The sequence below is a fragment of the Homo sapiens genome, chromosome 3, assembly GCF_000001405.40.
Source record: "Homo sapiens chromosome 3, GRCh38.p14 Primary Assembly".
NCBI classification, from domain to species: Eukaryota; Metazoa; Chordata; class Mammalia; order Primates; family Hominidae; genus Homo; species Homo sapiens.
The window spans coordinates 36,375,225-36,397,238 of record NC_000003.12 but is presented as its reverse complement, the minus strand read 5'-3'; the positions used below and the strand labels follow the sequence as shown (position 1 = coordinate 36,397,238).

At 39.1% G+C, this 22,014-nt stretch overlaps 1 protein-coding gene and 1 long non-coding RNA gene across 8 annotated transcripts in view; one reads left to right on the top strand and one right to left on the bottom strand.

Moving 5' to 3' along the window:
- The window catches only part of STAC (SH3 and cysteine rich domain), a 167,504-nt gene extending 150,769 nt beyond the window's left edge, over positions 1-16,735 (bottom strand). For all 7 annotated transcript variants that reach the window (XR_940496.3, XM_047448767.1, NM_003149.3 and 4 more), the window contains exon 1: positions 16,485-16,735. Coding sequence is in view for 5 of the 7 variants with exons in the window: in NM_003149.3 (NP_003140.1) it covers positions 16,485-16,595 (111 nt within the window). In the remaining 2 variants the exon portion in view is untranslated. The remainder of the gene's footprint in view (positions 1-16,484) is intronic.
- LOC124906227 (uncharacterized) overlaps positions 1-22,014 on the top strand; it is a 119,636-nt gene that overhangs the window by 57,139 nt on the left and 40,483 nt on the right. The gene's annotated exons all lie outside the window — the stretch shown is intronic.

Below are 22,014 nucleotides of genomic sequence, written 5' to 3'. Positions count from 1 at the left end.
TTAAGAAATTTCAAATCTATCAGGAACTCAGTATCTGACAAAAAGACTTATAGGAAACATAACCAAGAATCAGAAAATATAAACAAAAAGTCTGAACTACCAGATTAATCACTAAATAAAAAACAAAAACAAAACACAAAACACTAAAAGACAAAACCGTGTTTACTTTTCTGATAGTCCATTAGGCTCAGTGTCCATTTTGTTTTGAGGAACAAAAAACTCCAACTAGTTTGGTGATTTATTTTCCACTACAAACGCAAATTAGCAGAAGCAAATTAGAAGCCTTAGAGTAGACTAGAGAGAGGGATAGACTCTGTGTGGGAGGAGATAGTAAAATGTAAGAATCAGACACAAGAACTAGGAGAGAACAGCAGTATAGAGTCATTAGTGCGAGGAAAAAACTACCCTACATATAATAAGTTCAATAACTGGCATTCAGAAGAGTGATTCTGAGTAACTAGGAGAAGGAAATTATAAAAACGATAAAATTGCTTTGAAATTTACAAAGCATTTGCAACGCTGTTATTATATGGGAATGAAATTACATTTGGTATATTCTGCTTTTAAAAGCAGGGAAATGTAAGCCAGAAAGATTTACAAGCAAAATTATCAACAGGAAAAATGCTTGGAACATTTTCTTGCCCCCCATTATTAGTATGGCTTGATTCTCCCGGATGACTCCTTTCCTGAGCATTCCAATGAAGCATCCCTGTACTTCTGTGAGATGGAAAGCACTAATTTCCCCTAAAATATGGAACTCTGGAAAAAAGTAGTGACTAACTTTGTATAGTAGTAATAATGTGTTATCAGAAAATTATCCCTAGCATTTTTCAACCATAAATCTGATGTAAAAGATTTATTGCATTTGTATCCTGTGATTTTTATTATTTTTTATAATATTATTTTTCCAAGAAACTTCATCTCAAATTTTTTAATGAAACTAGTAGAAAAATATTGTTCAATAAACAGAGATCCAATTTATAATTAATTTTTCATATGTATATCTAAGTCATGTATACTCTGCCTGATAAAACTTTGGTTCAATATCTGCTAAAACAAAATATAAAAAAAGAAATCAATATGAAAATCTCTAAGCTTGTTGAATTCCAGGGTGGGGCTCCCATTGTGTTTTTAGAATAAGATTAACTGGAGGAGGAGGAAATAAATTTCTATGATGAAAACTATGACCAGAGAGTTTTCTCTATCGCAGAGGTAAATATTATGTACCAGAAAGACTCTAGGACTGAAGTAAATTATTCTAATCCAATGTCTTTCTACTTGACTCTCACCTTTGTTTTTTTTTTTTAAACTTTGTGGAGAGATGCTTATAGAAGCCAAAAATCAATGTGTTTTCTTGTTGGATGATTCTGGCCCTTGCTGCTATCTTCTTGCTACATGAGGAGATTTAAATGTAGATTACTGGGACTGACAGTCAGTCCCTATGACTGAAGGTTGACTGATAACCTACATGGACCAAGCAACATAGAAGAGAAGAGCTTCCATAAGCAGTGAGACTAACACTTTTAATTCTTGATGACTTTGTTTGTACCTCATTCCATCCTGCTTCTTATCTTCTAACTGCTAACATTAGCCCCTTTTGCTCTGTTGGTTCTCACCCCACCATTGGAATTTTCCTTGTCTCCTCATTTCTGGCTCGGATCTTAGAATCTCTATTCATGTATTCTGGTCATTCACTCTGACCAAGTAGTCTCTAGCCAGATAAGGGACCTCCTGATCCCAACTTCCACCTCTTGTGCAGGCTCTGTGAAGATGGCTCCCTGAGGAGGAAACAGACACTTCTACTTGTCATCGAAATTCCTCTCATGTCTGCTCTTTTCTCTTTCTTCTCATTTGCTCTCTGTCATCTTTTAAAGACTGGACTACTCACCTCCCTGGCTTTAGGTGCTCCCCATGCCAATCCATCTTTCACTTCACTATTACAACCTTAGTGACTTCTCTTATCCTCACCTTTCAAATCTAAATCCCTGTGCCCAGTTTCCAAGACCTTCATCTGACCTCTTCAACTTTCTTGTCTGTTTCTTCCCAGTATGCAATTTCAGTCAAGTCAGTTACATTGTTTCTATCTTTGCAAAGTTATCCATAAGATTAAGTTCACATCCAATCTTTTTGAAGGTTACTGTGACTGCTACCAACTTACATTTGCACAGGGCTTCTTGGATCATAAAATATTTTGATATATATATATATATATCTATATATCTTTTGATTCTCCTATTAACCTTTTAAAAGTCATTCCTGAGTTATCTCTCTCCCTCACACCTCACAGTATACATTCATAGGAACTCTTGTTGATTTTATTTCTAAAATATAATGCAAATATATTCCTTTTTTTTTTTTGACAGAATTTTACTCTGTTGCCCATGCCGGAGTGTAGTGGCATGCAACCTCCGCCTCCCAGGTTCAAGCGATTCTCCTGCCTCAGCCTCCTGAGTAGCTGGGACTACAGGTGTGCACCACCGCACCCGGCTAATTTTTGTATTTTTAGTAGATACAGAGTTTTGCCATGTTGGCCAGGCTGGTCCCTAACTCCTGACTTCAGGTGATCCACATGCCTCAGCCTCCCAAAGTGCTGGGATTACAGGTGTGAGCCACTGTGCCGGGCCTATATCACTTCTTAAATTGTCCACTATGTGCTACCAGATTCTCCCTAATCTGGACTACCATAGCTTTCTAACTGGCCCCCTTACTTTTACTCTTGCTATGCTGTAGTCCCACTGCATACAGCAGCCACAGTAATCTTTGTAAAATGTGAGTAATGTACTGTCCAGATCCTCCTCCTCCCTGGCTTTCCCCAGTGGTTTTCTTTCAAACTTGGATAAAAATCTAAATTCCTTAGCACAGACAATGAAGTCCATAGGACAAAGCCAGCACTGTACACTAGAACCTTGTGCAATCATGAAAATGTTCTCTAATCTGTGGTGTTTAATACAGTAGCCCCTAGCCACATGTGCTTACCAAGTACTTGAAATATGGCTAGTGTTACTAAGGAACTGATTTTTAAATTTCAATTAATTTCAATATAAACTTAACTAGCCACATGTGGTTAATGGCTACCATATTGGACAATGAAGATCCAGCCACTGGACTCACCTCTCCGTAGGTGAGTTTAGGTGTCTGTACTCACCTCCTGTTATTTTTCCTGTTGTTTACTCAACAAGAAGCACCCAAGATTTGTAGCTGCTCTTCACAAATGCAAGCCTGTTCCACCTCTGAGGCTTTGCTCAGATCTCTCCCCCACCGCCAGCTTCTTCTCTTCCCCTAGATCTTCACACAACTCATGCCCTTACTCCATTCTGGTTTCTGAAACAAAACTTACTTTTTCACAGAATCCTTTTCTGGTCACTGTCTTAGAGAGTTTGAGCTGTTGTAATAAGAATACCACAGACTGGGTGGCTTAAGCAATCAACATTTATTTCTCACAGCTCTGGAAGCTGGAAGTCTGAGATCAGGGTGCCAGTATGATCAATTTCCTGCTGAGGGCCTTCCTCCTGGTTCATGGATGGCTGCTTTCTGCTACACGCTCACATGAGGGAGAGCAGAGAGAAGAAGGAAGCTCTCTCTTGTCTGTTTTTATAAGGCCACCAATTGCATCATGAAGCTTTCACCCTCATAACCTAATTATCTCCCAAAGGCTGATGTCCAAACACTATCACATTGGAGATTAGAGTTTCAACATAATTTTGGAGGGCACACATATTCAGCCCATAGCAGTCAGTCTACGTAAAATAGCTTCCTATGCTACCCTATTCCACAAGTACTCTTCTATTTAGCTTTATCACTGCCTAAAATAATGTTATGCATTTTTTTTACCTTGTTTATCATCTGTGTTCTCTGCTTTCTCCAGAAGCACCGGTTCAGAGTAGGTGGAAAATGAGCTTTAGGTAGATTGAATTTTCTAGGTGATGCTGAACAAAGGGACACAGGAGCAAGGGAGTTGAGGGTGTTTGCAAAGAAGTAATTACAATGAAGGAAAAGTAGAATCTAAGAACCTAAAATGGGTGAGGAATAATGAAAGGAGGGTAAATTCACTGATTTAATGGATTTTATGCTCTGGTGTGGCTGAAATACTATTGGAATAGAAAGGCTAAAGAGAATTAGATGGTAGCCACAGAGTGGGAAGCTTGAAAGGGAGATTCTAGAGAGGGTGTAATGCTTGTTTGAATGAAGTCTTGGGAATGCTCATGGAAGTGGGTGGCTGATATGGAAGAGGGTGGAAGACAAGATCATAGGAGGAGAAAAGTTTAAGGACTCAGGAGGTCAGGGTATTTGGAAGAGTCATCTTCAGTGTGTGAAAAATCATAAAGGATTATGTACAACAGGAATAGTGCTGGAGTGAATTAGAGTAGGCCTGGCTCTAGCAGATGAGACCTCCCTGGGATTGGGAGGTGACTGCTGATAACAGCAGGAAATGGAAGAATCTGAGAGCATGGATTTTAAAGCTGTGAGTTTTAAGGGAAGAGAGACAATAAACTGGAGGCAGCAGTAAGGCTGCCTCTCTGGCCACCAGGCATGATGAAGGAAAAAACAACCATCACCTGAAAGCTCTGCAGGGGCCGGGCATGGGGCTCATGACTATAATTCCAGCACTTTGGGAAGCTGAGGTGAGAGAATTGCTTGAGCCTAGGAGTTCAAGACTAGGCTGGGCAACATAGGGAGACCTCATCTCTACTAAATAAATAAATAAGTAAGTAAATAAATAAATAAATAAAAATTAGCTGGGCATGATTGTATGTGCCTGTAGTCCCAACTACTTGGGAGGCTGAAGTGGGAGGATTGCTTGAGCCTGGGAGGCTGAGGCTGCAGTGAGCCATGACTGTACCACTGCACTCCAGCCTAGGTGACACAGTAAGACCCTGTCTCAAAAAAAGAAAGAAAGGAAAGGACTAGATATTAGCATAAGAAGTGAAGGACTCATCAGAGAGGAACTTGAGGATAAAGAAGATTTTGCTAAAAAGTGAATTCTAGAGAGTAGAGTGGAGGGTATCGACCTGTAGGGAGGTTGGACGATGGGCTGGATTAGCAGATGTACAGATATGTTCAGAGAGGAAACTATGAGAGGAAGGGGCCTTGCAGCCTTGTGCTTCTAGTGATTGACATCACTGGGAAAGTGGTGTGATGGGAATCTTTTCCAAGGTCTCCAAGTCACCTTGTTCTGATAAAACAGAGTGTTAGAGGGGAGGGGAGGGAATGTGGGATCTTATCAAGGCATACAGAACTCTGGTGCTGCTTTTCACTCCCCTGATATCAGTTTGGAGGGCAAGGGAGCAGTGGCATTCCTGGGAGCCTTGGGGTGTTCTGGGTCTTCCTTCTTTATTCCTTTCTTTGTGTCTGACCTCAGTCCTTCAATTGCTTCCAGACCTGAGAAAAACATGCTGGCTGTAACTTCAGCTATGAGGGCCATTAGAAACAGGCAACAGGTATATGTTTCATTTTCAGACAAATGAAGCATGCTCTGGGAGCTGCAAGACATCTTGTCTTCTCTCTACCTGCTGCCAAACAGCTTCTTCCCTGCTTAGCCCGCCCCGCTCAGGATCATCAAGGGCTTCTGGTTTTCCGGATTGGTTGACACCATGGATGATGCTTCTCTATGGAGGAGCTCATCAGCAGAAGAGCACATGAGAAAAAACAAATTAACAACAAAGAGAGCACAGAAGAAGAAACGGGGTGACAGCTGAATCAAGAATGATAAATTCCATTGAGGGTAGCTTGAATTTAAGATGTGGGCATCAACAGAGACTGTCCAAAGGGCAGCAGGATATATTGGTCTGGCGATCACTAGAGTGATGTCTGGGTTGGATGCAGATTTAGGAGTTTTCAGCTGGTGGATGAAATGATAAGAAGTAAGATTTAGCCCAGAGAGATTATGAAGCATGAGAAGGGCTGCGGGTGAAAAACAGAATGCTGGGGAAGAACAATATTTGAAAGATGGGCAGAGGACAGATTGCCAGTGGGATCAAAGAGCAACTTCTATAGCAGTAAAAGGGGAACCAAGTAAGAGTGAGAGATTGAAAGAGGGAGCAAGGGATCCTTTCTTTTGGTAAGGTGGAGATGTGAGCACTTGTGCTTAATGCTTCTGATTTCAAATCCAGATCTAAGGAATCAGTGTTACACAGAAATAGAGAAGTATAAAAGAGGGTATGAACATGATGGAATTCATGGGAATCCTGCCAGAGAGAGGGAAGATGGGACGAGACTGAAGGAAGTTCCCAGGGCTGTCCTCCTATAACCCATCTGGAGATCTTATGAAGATTTAAGTAAAATGGATAATTTTCTGGTAAAATACAAGTTAACAAATCTGACTCAAGCCAATTTAGGAAAAAAGGAATAGAATTTAATAATGGAAAAAAATTTTCAAATTTTGTTTTAAGATAGGTGACAGGTTTAGATATTATTGGCATTTTTTTAAACATTCAAAGAGAGTATTATTTGTGGGTTCCATAAAATGTTCCATACATAAAAATACAAAAACAAAATAAAAACATTCATGGACATGTTCCCAATTCATTTTCTGAAACTTGGCATAGCCTTAAAAATAAAATCTGACCAAGAACACAAAAGTGACAGTTATCGAACAATCTCCCTTATGTATGTGGATGTAAAAATAATAAAGCATTGGCAATCAAAACCCGGGAGTTTATTAAAAGAAAATCCCCATGGCCAAGCAGGACTTGTTCCAGGACTGTAATAAGAGTTTAATATTAGGATATCTATTAATATAATCCATCAGATAAAGAGACCAAAGGACAAAAAAAAAAAAAAAAAAAAAGAAAAGAAAAATCACATGATTACTTCCATACTTGCCAAAAAGTCATCTGAAACAATTTCACATCTATTCCTGATGGAAATTCTTCATAAGCTAGGAACACGACCTATCTTTAAAATGAGAAAGACTGTCTTAGTTTAATTGTGAACATGAGTGGGATGTCTGGAATTTGTGTAGAAGGGGATCTTAAGGAATGACTTAGTTGGAAATGGATTTGTCTTTAAGTTGAATTTGCAGTGCACCACATGATTTTTCTCAGGCTGTATAAGTACTTTTGGTGGCTTCTAGAGTGGCTAGTGGTTTACAGGAGAGCTAAGGCCACCTGTCAGCACCAATACTGTACAATACTACATGTATAGTAAAACACTAGTGGCATTTAAAGTTAAGTCATGTGCCAGCCTGGTATCTCTCTAATATTTACCATACTTTTGGAAGTTCTCCAGCAATAAACCCCTGTCCCTACCCACTGCACTCCCTTCCCCCCCAAATGAAAGAGAATTATAGTTACAGAGGCAAAATTATTATTTCACATATTATGATAATCTGAATTTGCTTGCTATATGCCAGGCTCTGTGTTAAGCACTTTACATACACTAATTAACTTGAATGGCAATGCTGCAGAGGACATTATTATGCTCACTTTATGGAAAGCACAGTGAATCTCTGGGAAGTGAGGGACAGGAAAGCTTGTTAAGTGGCATCCTAAACTGGCACAATGGGATTTGAACATGGCTGTGTCTGTGCCCATGCTCTGAACTAGTAAGCAACATTGTATTTCTTTACTAATGGATAAGAAATGGAATATAAATGATTTTAGATTATAAAATTAATATAAAAATGAATTTCTTATGTGCCAGCTATCACCAGTTAAAAAATATAAAAATGGTAATTCATAATAGTAAGTCAGAGTATAAAATACTGTGTGCTATGTTCTTAATGTTTGTGTTCCCCTGAAATTCATTTGTTGAAAATTAATCCACCAGTATGACGGTATTAAAAGGCGAGGGCTTTGGGAGGTGATTAGGACATGAGGGCAGAGCCTTCATGATTCGGATTAGTGCCCTTATAAAGAGGCCTCAGAGCACTACCTTGCCCCTTCCACCATGAGACAACACAGCTACAGGATTCCATCTATAAACCAGGAAACAGGCCCTCTGCTGATGCCTTGATCTTGGATTTTCCAGCTTCTACAACTGTGACAGATACATTTCTGTTGTTTATAAACCCAGTTTATGACATTTTGTTTTAGCAGCCTGAATGGACCAAGACAGTTGGAAAATAGCTAACAAAGAATTTTGGCAGGAAATATTTGAGGACAATTTCAAGCATTTATGAGAGGCATAAAAGACAGGCGTTTCAATAACTACAGATATACTATGTTTTTGGATAAGAAATCTCATAATTGTAAAGATTTCACTGAAATAATATTAGGAGTTTCATGAAATTGCTTTCAAAATATTGTTTTTATAATTTGGTAGAAAACGAAAAGTTGAGTGCAGATAAATATAAAACTTCCAAGAGGGTACTTGTATTATTAATTATCAAACTCTATTATTAAGCTACAAAAATTGAAGCATAATAGTCATGCAAGAGTACAGTACAATAATAAGTGCAAAAATAAAGTTACAAAACATTAGAATATGACAGATAACTCTAAAAGAGAATCTAATACATATTACCATTTATTACATAAAAAACGTAAAATTTCAAATCAGTGAAAAAAGAATAAATTATTCAACAAATGGTTTTAGAAATACTGATTCATCATTTGGGAAAAAATAGATTTCTTCATACTACATAATGATATAAATTCCAGATGGATGAAAATGATAAAAGCAAAAAGTACATATTGAGGATCTAGAGAAATGATACAGGTTATTTTATTTTTCTGTTCTCAGGGTTGGGAAGTCCTTTCTAAATATAATTGAAAAGAAGAAAACATAGCTAAATAAATTTGAGACATTTAAAACCATAAAAAAGGAAACTTCTACATTGAAAATGTAATAGAATTGAAAAAAGACAAATTTCAATCTGGGAAAATGTTAGCAATGTATCTGAAAGGTTGAATTTAATATTTATAAATAATTTTTTAAAACCAATAGGAAATGAAAAAACAGTATTAAAATGGACAAGGACATGAACAGATAATTCACATACCAAAAAAGACAAGTAATAAAAAGGCATGAAAAATAACCCTTTCGATGAATAAATGTAAGTAAAATGATAATAAAATTCAATACTTCTGCATCATTCAAATTTGCTGGTTAGAAAGCTATAATACTACAATCCAACAACAAAAACCAAACAATCTAATTTTAAAATGGACGAAGGCCTTGACTAGATATTTCTCCAAAGAAGATATACAAATAACCTATAAGCACATAAAAACATGATCTACATCACTAAACATGAGATACCATCTTGTACCCATCAGGATCAACAAAACCCAGAAAATAACAAGTATTGGTGAGGATGCAGAGAAACTGGAATCCTTGTGCATTACTCGTCAGAATCCAAAACTGTGCGACCACTGTGGAAAATAGGATGGCAATTTCTCAAAAAATTAAACATAGAATCACCAGATGATCCAGCAATTGCACTTCTGGTTATATACCCATAAGAAATGAAAGAGGGGACTTCAACAAGTATTTGCACACCCACTTCATAGCAGCATTATTCAGAGTAGCTAAAAGGTAGAAACAGCCCAAGTATTCACTGATGCATTAATGGATAAACAAAATGTAGTATATATATACAATGGGATATTATTCAGCTTAAAAAAGAAGGGAATTCTGATACATGCCACAACATAGATGAGCTGTGAAGACATTATGCTAACTGAAATAATTCAATCACAAAAGGACAAATATTATATGATTTCTCTTATATGGTAAACCCGGAATAGTCAAATTCATATAGATAAAAAGGAAAATGGTAGTTGCCAGAGACTGGGGAAAGAAGGGGATGGGGAATTAGTAATTAATGTTGAATGGGTACAGAGTTACAGTTGGAGATGATAAAGATGTTCTGGAGATGAGTGGTGGTTATGGCTGCACAACAGTGTGAATGTACTTAATGCCGTAGAACTGTACACTTAAAAATGGTTAAAATGGTAAACTTTACATTACGCATATTTTACCACAGTCAAGAAAAACCTAGGTTGGTTTTGATGTCTACGTGGAGTAGAATCTAAAAAAGAAGGAAAAAAATGAACTAGAAACAAAATTCTTACCAACTCAGGTTGATGATAAAGAAATCTTAGTTTAGTCTTAAGGTGGACAAAAATAAATAAGTAAATATAAAATATTTATCTTGGAATTCTTATTCATGGATCTGCCCTCACATAGATTTGAGGCTTGAATTTAGACAGCAAAAGTTGGTTTGGTAAACCCCAAACTGAAAAAGTAACAAAATTTGGTTCCTCTCAATGATGTCTTAGGGGACTTGACAAAAGCAAATACTCTGGAGTGAGAACATGCCCATTCTCTCCACATGGATTTATAGATTCAATGCAGTTCCATTCAGAATCCCAGCAGGTGTTTTTGTGCAAATTGATCAGGTGATTCCAAAGTGCACGTGGAAATGCAAGGAATCAAAAATAACTCAAATCTGTTTTGAAAAAGAAGAGCAAAGCTCCAGGGCTTACGCTACCAGATATCAAGACCTTTTAAATAAAATCATTACATTTAAGACAGTGCTGTACTGGTAGAAGGTTAGACAAAGAGGCCAATGGGCAGAATAGAAACTTGCACATATACAGTCAAATTATTTATGGATAGCAAAAGTGGCATAGTCAAAATGAATCTTGACCCTTACCTCACACCATACCAAAAAAGCAATTCCAAATGAATTGTAAATCCACCTGTGAAAGGCAAATAATAACAATTCTAGAAAATAATAATAGAATATCTAAATGACTTTGGAATAGGCAAAGATTTCATAAGCAGTACACAAAAAGCACAACCATAGAAGAGAAAAATGTAAGAATTAGACTACATTAAATTAGGAATTTCAGTGAAGAAGAAAAAAGGTAAGCCTTTTTTTTTTCAGTGTAGAAGAGAATATCTGCAATACATTTTTTCTCTCAACGTTCTCATATCCAGAATATGAGAAGAACCCCTACAAATTAATAAGAAGCAAATAACCCAATAGAAAAATGGCAAAAGACTTGAACAACTACATAAGAAGACATCAAATGCCATAAACATGTAAAAACTGCTAAGCTTATTAGTCATTGGGGAAATACAAGTTAAAACCACATTGCAATACCATTAATTGCTTATTAGATGGCCAAAATGAGAAAGATAATATGAAACGATGGTAGCACAAAGAGTGGATTGAAGTCTTATACATTGCTGGCAGGAATATGAAGTGGTACAGCCATTTTGAAAAGTATGTTAAAGCTGAACATGTGTATACCCTATAAGCCAGAAATGCCACTTCTAGGTATATACCCAATAGAAGAGCTTCATATGTGCCACAAAGAATATATATAAGGAATGTTCATAGCAGTATGGCTTATAGCAGCCCAAAACAAGAAACAATCCAAATGTCCATCATCAGTAGAGTAGGTAAATAAACTGTGTTCCATTCATACAATGGAATGTTATATGGTAATAAAAATGAAAACTATTGCTACCTACAATGGCACAGATAATTTCAACATAATGTTGAGTGAAAGAAGTCAGGCATAAAATATTGTATGATTCAATTTATCAAAAGTTCAGAAATGAGCAAATAATTTATGTTGTTAGAGTGAGGATACTATTTACCTTTAGGAGGTTAGTGATTAGAAAGGGGTATGAGAGAGATTCTGGGGTGTCAGTAATATTCTTTTTGTGATTTATGAGGTGGTCACACAAAGGTCAAGAGTTTATCTTTTTGAAAATTCATCAAGCTATAAACTTTTAATATGTGCAGTTTTGGGGATGATGTTGTACTTTGATGAAAAGTTTACTAAAAAAAAGACTATAATACAACTTTTTCTGAGGTCACTGTGGTTATGAGAATAAAATACCTTAGAAGTGTTTATACTCAGACCTAGTTAATTCTATTTGTCATGAAACTGATCAGAAACATATACAAATATTTATGCATTGGAATGTATATTTTAATATTTTTTAAATGTATGAAATCTGGGAAAGAACCTAAATATGAAATCAGAAGGGACTGCTGAAATTGATGTGGTAGAACAATGAAATGGAATATTAGGCTATCTTCAATATTTGTGTGGTTGGTTACTTAAAAGTATAGGAAGACTACGTATAACATTAGGTGGAAGAAAAAGCAAAACTTGGGTTTATGTATACACTATTCTAATTCTGTTTTCAGTGGGCATCTGTATAGAAAATACTGATGCTTGAGATCTCTCTCAGAGATTTCAACTTAGTGGTTCTAGCCTATGGCCTGGGTTCCCTTGGTGATTTCAATGCAAAGCCAAGGTTTCGTTTTCTTTCATCTTCTTCCCTGAATAGAAGTTAAATTCCTTATTAATAACAGCTTCACATATATGTATGAGATATGCTGGGCACAAAGTAGGCACTCAATAAATAATTGCTGATAGATGGACACAGAAATCTTTCTGGGAGATTCAGGGCACGTCTTCATGGTTAGAGATTTCTTTTTCATAGGTTGGATTGTGGTCCAGGTTCAGAAATAATCCTCCAGGAATGAGGGTCACTTTGGTCCGTGGCTCCACTAGGGCACTGGGTGGCTTATAGCACCATTTCAAAATCTAAATCACATGCTGGTGAGTCTATGTCTTATCTTCTTGGGGATGCAAAATAGCTGAAGTGAAGTCTCATTGTAATCAATTAGCATAACTAAAAGCCCAAAGAGGTAAACTCAGTTACATTATGGTAATGTCAGTTGTGGTTATTGAAATTATTCCAATGATGACATTTGGGGTTGGCTGGTGGTAGCAGTCATCTGATTTGAAACAAATAGAGAAAATAAATAATGGTTTATGTTTGTGTATGCTTATAACAAACATATTAGGTGTATTACATATTCTTAGGCCTTACAAAAAGCACACCAATTGGGTAGTAGCAGCCCCATCAGCATCCCCATGAGGAAGCTGAGGCTTTGAGGTATTAGGCATGTTCACAGAGGTGTGTCAATCTCACCTTTGATATTGATGATATTGAGGTGTGATTCCTCAATATCATCAAAATGTGACCTTGTGTCATATAAGTGATGACAAAGAGATTTATAGCAAACCTTCACATTAGACACTAGCAAGCTTTCTATGTTGTCAATAAGTCAGTAGGAGAAAAGATATTCATTGAAATAAGGGATAATGGGACATGAAATTTTTGTTTATATTCAATGGTCTCTGTCAAGCCCTTAAAAAATAAATTAGGCTGTCATCTTTCTGAAATAGTTAGTGGGAAGATAGAAGGGTATGATACATCAGTGGCTTTCAAACTTATTCAACTCAACTAATTTCATAAAGAAGAAAACCCACAATTACATTAAACTATATTATGACTTGTGCTTACAGAAATTTGCTCTGAGGAAACTGTACTGGGATACCAAAGTCCAAGACGGGGTTTGTAGGTAAGGGTATTGCCAGTAACTATCTGTGTGATCTCAGGCAAGTCACTGCCCCTTTTTGGGCCTCAATTTCCTCAAGAAAGAGAAAAAGGACATTAAGATAACCTTTGAAGCTATAGACCCTTTGTGAACCTGAGATAAGCTATAAATTCTTTCCCTAGATGATGCATATATGCATGTACATGGACAACTTTGAATGCTGGTTCGGGTTGTTCACAGATTTTCCAAAGACTATTTGTGGGCTTCTAAAGAATATAGTGGCCCTTAGCTTAAAACACCTGAAATATGTGCTAATTGGGATTATAGTCATGTTTATGAAAATAAAATGAAAATAACCCTTATCCTTGAGAGATGTAACCTGATAGCATATTTACGGGTGAAGTTATTTCATGTCTGGAATTTGCTTTAAAATGATCCAGTATGTGTAGGGTGGTGGTGGTGGTGGTAATACATAAAACAATACTGTCCATGAATTAATTGTGAAGCCACATGATTAGGTCCATGACAGTTCTTTATACTGTTTTCTCTACTTTTGTGTATATTAAAATTTTCCATAATAAATTTTCACAGTGAAAATGATCTAACCTTTCTTGGCTTCCACTTCCCCATCCATAAAATAGAAATATTAACAGAATCTTCTATTGTGAAGATTAAGGTTGTATCTGACTTACAGTAAACATTCAGTAGATGCTCACTATTGTTCTCGCTCAACTATGTAAATATATAAACAGATTTAAAAAGACATGAGATATAGATCAAAGTTTTATTAGTAGATGCTTCTGGATGGTAAACCAAGAGCTAATTTATTTTTCTTTTCATCATTTATGTCTGGACTGTTCAAATATCTACAAAGAGTATTTGTTACTCTTATAATAAGACAAAAAAACCTAACTCTTTAAAAAAAGTAACTTTAAGTCTTCCTTGAGAGAGTTTAATGCCAAGGGGGCCTGAACCATGTTTGTCCCACAAGATATTTTACAAACAAGACCACTTCATGGAAGAGTAAGATGGAATGCATATTACTGTCTTGTTCACATTTTCCTCACCAAGCTCTCATGCTCAGGGTCAAAGATCCTTGTAAACGCCAGTAAGCTTTAACATGTGGCCTTCCTAGAATAGAATGAATTGAGCCTTCCTCTCCTCCAGTGTCATGCCATCCTACTCCCTTACCTTACCACACGTTCCTCCCTACTAGCAGTTTAGCCTTTTTTAAGGGGCATGGATCACTTTGAGAATATCATGAATGCTATGCCAAGAAAAATTCACATGTAGGCATACAATATTGCATTCAATTTCCTAGGGTTCATGGGCTGCCATAGTTCATCTCCACTAATTAAGCTTACTGAGGCCATGACATCAAATTTAGGAATGTAGAAACACACATCCGGTGTATAGACCACTTTGAGAAAAACTAATTTGTACAAAACCATAAGCCAGATAAATTGGTGGATAATTATGGGCATTACATATGTGGCTTTTGCTCTGCCAAATAATTTCCATTAGGACATCTATAAATAGCAAATCCATATAATGCATTTGAACCATGCCACTGTTTGCCCAAATGCTAAGCCCTTTCCAGAACACGCCTACTGCAGAGCAACAGGCCAATTCAAAAAGTTCAATACTAGTTTTACTCTTGAGTTCAGCTACATTCATTTATAGAATTCTAGCTTTCCTCTAAAATGGCCACTAACCTATATCACTCTGGGGACTGATGTTCAATGGGAGGCAATGATACCCAGAAACTTTTTGACTGAGGAGAGGTAGTGCATGTGTATGGGTTATCAGATTGCTTTGGAGTGGATCATTTGAGATGAGATAGATTCCATCTCTTTATCTCAGGAAGGAAAAGGATAAACATGATTGAGTCCTTACAGTATACCAGGTGGACATTAGGGCCTCTCATGTACTCCTCACAATGTCTCTGGAAGTTGGGGCTTTTTCCCTCATTTCCAACCGAGTTTTAGAAAAGTTGACACACATACCCCAGGTCTGGCAGCCAGTAAGTAACAGGAAAAAAATAAAAATAAATAAGATGTAAAGCTTTCGGGCTTAGATTACCATCATTGATGGTTAACTTCAGGGGGCTGGGAAATGTACAGTGCCCAGTATCACACCAAATCCCCAGAGCCACTCAGGCTGTGATTTTCATCCTCCTGATCATATCAATGGCTTCCAGGGATGCATGTGAAGAGAGACAGGATCGCAGTCTTCCTTGCCCCATCTGGCCTGTCCCTATCCTATAAACTGGCAACCCCTTTCCTTTGCTGGTATACACGGACTGCCTCACATTCCCCAAATGCCTGGGGATCGCACAATGAAATCAGAATAAAGAGCCAGGAGCTCTACACTTAAAAGAATCCACATAACTACAAACTCCATCTTAGGATTTCCACCACCAGCTGAGTTGCCATTTGGCATTGCACTGCTAGCAGCCACATTTTACTCTATCCTCTTCCAAGATTTTCAAACATGTGCCTGGCACCCACGGGAGTTTCAGAGGAAGTGTAACAGTGACAGGAGAACTGCTGCGGGCTTGGTTTTTTGTATACGTGTTAGTGTAACTTTCATAAAAGCAAGTATAGGTTCTTAGAGTATTAACTTTCACAAGAGGAACATCAACTTTCAGACAAACGCAGGCAAACCCTTTCTTTTTCTTTTTCTTTTTTAGTGAGTAGTATCTGAAGGTAGGGGTGATCCCTGTTAAGCAAAAGGTCTCTGAGACCCTTGGGATACATACATGCTTTTCTGGCCCAGTACTCAAGCTTTTCTGGAAGAGTATCCCTCGGCTGTCTCCATCCCTCAGCCTTCAGAAGCCACCTAATACCTACCTACACGTGCTTTGGACACAAGCAGGTTCAAAGCACAAAAAAAACCAAGCTACCACCCCGCAAGAAATCGATCTCTGAACCCGGAGCCACCATGAATTGCGTGTGTGAATGTGTGGGCGGGAAGGCTGGGTCCACAGGGACGTGGTCCAGCATCGTGAGCAGCGGGTCCTACCGGACGTTCAAGTCCTACAGCCCTGGGCTAACTAGCAAGTCTCAGACCCCCACGCCCGTGCTAGATAGGAGGAGAGACAAAGCTGGACCGACAGGAGAGGAGAGTGAGTTTGTGTTCTCTTGGGGGCAAGCGTGCTCGGTACCTTGGATTCCTGGCTGCTGGTGGATGCAGGAGAGGGCGGTTGCTCGGCGCCCACCGCCTCCTTGGGCAGCCCGTCCACGCCGTCCTCGCGGGGGCTGCTCGGAGGGATCATCGTGGCCGCGCGGGAACGGTGTTGGGCTCCCGGAGGAACAGCGAGGCTTCTGTCCTGCGCGCCCTGCCCGCCGCGCGCCAGGCTGCTCAGCTCCGGGTCCTGGGGACTCCCATCCTCGCCGAGGCGCCGACGTGCCCTCCTCCAGCCTCGCTCCCTCTCCCTCCCCGCCCTGCCCACCTCCCCGGCACTTCCGCGGGCGTGGAGGAGAGTGCGCCCTGCCCCGCCCCGCCGCGCCCGCGGCCACCTCGCCGGCGACCTCACAGTCGTGACTGCCACTCGGCAGCGGGCGAGCGGGCTTCTGCTCGCCCGCAGGAGGAGGAAGGAGGCGGGGAGGCAGCTCCAGGGCGGGGCTGCGCGGCCAGCGCCTGGAGTAGTGAGGGCAGGCAGGGGGCAGCGCCCTGGAAAGGGCTGGGGGAAGGCTGGGCGCACGCCGGCACTGGGTGGGGGTGATTCTTCAGAGAGGATGCTGAAAATTCAGACCCAAACCCCAAAGAATAGAAAATCTGTGAATGATATAGCCAGAAAGAGCCACTTGCAACAACTCCCTCATTCCTCACCCCAACGAATAGTGACTGAGACAGTGACTTAGCTAAGCTATTTATAGGGTTCAGTGACAGAGAGCAGGGGTCGGAGTGGGGGTCCCCTGACTCACGGGCACTGCGTTTTCTCCATTCAGCTTTGATCTAAAGCAGAGAGATAATGCAGTGTGTATATGGACACCTGTTCCTCGTTTGTTGTGCACTTATTGTACTAAACCCTTTCTTTTTACCTTATTTAATCCTCCCAGCTACTCTATGCGTCTAGGGATTATCACTTCCATTTTATAGATGAGGAAGTTGAGGCTGTAGGAAGACTGAGTAATTTGCTTTAAGTCACTAAACTATAATTGGTGAAACTGGAATTCGAACACATTTGGGCTTCAAAATCCATGCATTTCCGACTGTGGAGCCTCAAATCTAGGCCAGGTCTTGGCTGAAGAGCAATTGGATGTTGCAGTATAGCAAGAGTTGAGGACTGTTCACAGAGGGGCAAACCAGCCTGCCTTACTAAATCTTTTGGAAACATAGGAATAGCCCCACTGAATAAAGATACAGAGGGTCCAGTTTCTTTTGAAGACAACCTCAGTGTGCAGGGAAAAGAAACACACCTAGATATTTAAAAGCCTCTTTTCCCCCATTAATACAAAATACCCTCAATTTTTTAAAACAAAATTGCAAACTTCTGTTCAGATTTTTAAAATTAGCTGTAGATGTTTGCAAGAACAGCTTCATGGATGTGCAACCTGTGCAGTCACACAGGGCCCCGCGCTGATGCTGCCATCTTGAAATTCGGTAAAAATATTTAACAAGAGATCACATTTTCATTTTGTACTTGACCCTGCAAATTATGTGTTTGGTCCTGCATCCATGCCCTAGCTCATGTCTTTTAGAATAAACTTGCTCTTACTCTTTCCATCCCAGATGTCAATTGAAAGCTACTGTTCAATGTGTCAGCCTCTTACTCAGCATTTAGCTTTCAAAATGCTCTAAATTTTCTGGTGACCCTCAGTACGGGGCCAGATTGGCTAGCCCAAATGGCTTCAGCTTTTTCCTTCTCACAACACAATGCCTGAGTGTTCGATAGAGACAGAATTCTAGTAGCCAAAGTCACAAACACAATGACAGGAGCAGCCATATCAACACATTTTTATCAAGCATCTATTCTGTATCAGAATTGTGCCAGAAACTAATGATACAGCAGAGAGAAAACACAGATTAAGTCTGTTTTCCTGGAATTTAAGTCTAGTGGGAGAGACAGCAATTAATTAAATCACACACACATTTAAAAAAAAACTATGATAAGGGAAAGTACAAGACTTTGATGAGTGTGTACAAATGAAGCCTGAGCTAGCATGGGGCCAGACGAGGGTTTTCTTAGGAAACAAAACTCCCAGGGTCTACTGGCAATTCCAGTCTTGGTGAGCAAGCATGTCATGGCTTAGAACAATAAATTTTTCATCCTTTTTTTCTTTTGGATTTTCTTTTTTTAAGAATTGAAGATGTCATCCTTACTTTTAGTAAGTGCTTAGCTCAAGTTAGCAACAGTATTAGCCAATAGTATATGTTTAAATGTTGTCCCTTGAAGGAAATTTAGAGAAGCTAGTACCTCCTTCCTTTCCACCCCACCCTGATCCAGCAGCAGAAATCCTTAGTCTGATAAATAATACCTACCATAGGAATTAGCCATGGTGTCCCAAACTAAATCACGCCTTTGTTTATGTGTTAGTTTCACATTATTTTCTATCCGATCTTTTGTTATCTAGCTAACTTATCTTATTCTTCAAATCACATATCCAAGTATTTACTACTCTTGACATCTCCTTCCTTGACCCATTTATCTGATTTAGATTCCCAAATCAATGCCATGTTCCCATGACTTCCTTTCCTAAGTAATCAATGACAAGGTTGCCTGCTCTTCTGTTGGGCTATGATCTCCCCTAGGGCAGGGGCAATGCCATGTTCATCTTGTTTCTCTAGCTCCTGGTATAATGCTTGTTAACAAGGTGGTGAAAAGAGGCTACCCTTGTAGCCCCTGAGCTCTAGAAATGGTCTAGGCATTAATTATTGCATGTGTCCTCCACAAACTGAATGGAAGAAGACTCTGAATGCTTCTGTAAAACAATGGGATTTGTCAGTGCTTTGAGTCAGTAGATGGTAGACCAGCAAAGTGATCCCCAGAGTACCCCTCATGAAGCATTGATATCCCTGAGCAGAAGTGTACATTTTCATGGCTATGTGTGAGATACCCCATCTGACACCCAGGAATGCTTAGGTGAGACCTCACAGAAGACTGGAAATTCTGCCTTAGAAGCTTTATGACATTTTAGCTATGGTTGTCAAGATTTCTCATTTCTACTGCAGTCTGGTAAAGCCTGAGGAAAAAAGGTTGTGAATAATTATTCTAAGTCTCAAGTCTGTAGCTTTGTGATTTTTGTAGATCCCCTTCATGGTCTATTTCACTCTGGTTTCTGGGTAAATATCAAGCCAGCAGAAGTGTGAGGTGTACAGAAATTTATCTGCACAAACTCGAACTGGAAGCTCCCACTTCTGGTTCATTTACTTGTTCATTAATTTGTAAAGAGGGCAAAGGCCTCCTCCTGATTGCATCCAAGGGCCTTTCACAGTAAACACCGTTAAGCAGAAGACTGTGTAATGCTGCTAACCTTCTCTCATTTCTTTGTTCTGAGTTTGTATAAAGAGACTGGATTTCATCCTATGGACCTTGGCTTCTTATAGAGCCATTTGGTAAAAAGATACTAGTAAGACTTCTTAAATAGAACAGATATACTTATGAAGGGTACAGAAAAGAACAACAAGAAAAAAGAAGAGGGAAGATAATATGGAGAACTGTTGAGGATAAAGGAGAGGATCTCAAGGAAGGGATGGCTCTCCATGCGTGATGCATCAGAGTCATGATGGATACACAATATAACACAGTATACGAGAAAGGCGTAGGTTGCTGATAACAATAATAGCTAACATGTATTGGGTTTCTAATACATCATAGACATTGTATATTTGTTCTTTCATTTAATCCCTATGAAACCTTAGCAAGATAAAGAAAATTATCCTAGGTTCTACAGTTTAGGAAGGACTCAGTTATATCCTGCTCCTGGGCCAAGTTTTGGCCGCTCTGGTTTGCTGCCACCTAGGCAACAGCAGAACCCGGATGTCCTGAAAAGGCAGCAGGCCTTAAAGATTAGGAGCAATGCAAATTGAGAGCCAGAGGCATAATAGAAGGCACAGGGCAAGTTCCCAAATAATGAAGAGTGGTCCATTCCATTCTTTTGTCTTAAAAGTAAATAATGAGCATCTCTACACTTTGGAGATGATAGCCAAGAAGTCTAGACAAATGTAAGCAAGAGGCATCCACTTTTTTTTATTTTTTATTTTATTTTATTTTATTTTGAGACGGAGTCTTGCTCTGTCACCTAGGCTGGAGTGCAGTGGCGCGATCTCGGCTCACTGCAACCTCTCCCTCCCAGGTTCAAGTGATTCTCCTACCTCAGCCTCCCGAGTAGCTGGGACTACAGGCATGTGCCACCAAGCCCAGCTAATTTTTGTATTTTTAGTAGAGATGGAGTTTCACCATGTTGACCAGGATGGTTTCCATCTCTTGACCTCGTGATCCGCCTGCCTCGGCCTCCCAAAGTACTGGGATTACAGGCGTGAGCCACTGGGCCCAGCTGGCATCCACTATTAGCATCACTTGTCACCCTCTAGATCCAGCCTAATGGATCTGCCTTCAAGCTTAGAGAAACCAAATGCTTTGCCCAAAGTCTAACCACTGACACTACCGCAACCACCACCACCTCTTACTTTGAACAGCTGCTAATGCTAGGCTTCGTTATGGTCTCATAGCAATTCATGATTGGTCTCTTCTCAGAATCAAAGCTAATAATTTAATTGGGAGACTCATTTTTGTGAGGGCAAATCAGATACAGCTTAAGCATCCTTAACTTGTTTTTCTAAGCACCAATTAGTAATAATAACAACAATAATAGTTGATCACATTGTAAAGCACTGTTTGTCTGCATTCGAGTTATGTCCACTGGAGGTTCCCAGAAAAAGGTAAGGTAACAAGGCCCAATCCTCATATAGCTGTTTACCTTATGGGTTAAGACTTATCCCTTTTCTCTAAAATGTATGGCTACTTCTAACTGGTTATAGCCTCTGTGAGAAAGAGGATGGCTTGAATCTTTATTCTATATTTAGTGGAAAAGGCCAGGAACCTAAAATCCAAACATCCCAGCTCTTCCACTTAAAAGCAGTGAGATCTTAGACAATTGATTTAATCTCTCTCAGCTTCAATTTCCTTAAGTCAAAAATGGGATAATAGTCCCTATTTCGTAGAGTTTCTGTAAGAATGAATGCCTAATCAAAATAGGATCTGATACTACTGTTATCATCGTCATCAATACCATCCATATGATTTTGGGCAAATGTATTTGATTTGAGTTGGATTTACTATTTATTATAGTCAAATACATATACAATGTCAAAATTAGATGTATTCTACATTGCTAAAACTGGTAATAGCTTTTGTTTAGAATTTAGAAGTAGCAAATATCTAAAATTTCTTGGAAATGCATATAAAGTAAATTCATCCTATATATTTTGGTCCTTTGACCAGTAATTAACATTTAGCTTTATATTTTCTTATTCTATGAGTTTAGGGTAATAGTTTAAGAGGTGTATGATCCAGCCAACCCTGGTCTTATTGCTCCTCAAAAATGCCTGGTCTCTCACCAAGTTTTAGTGCTTGAGTTCTCTGTATCTGAGGGATCCCCACTATTCCCTATGACCAGCTCTTCGCATGTTTTGGACCTCAGTGCCCACCATCTGAAAGCACTGTTTCTTTCTTTCCTTATTTGATGTCA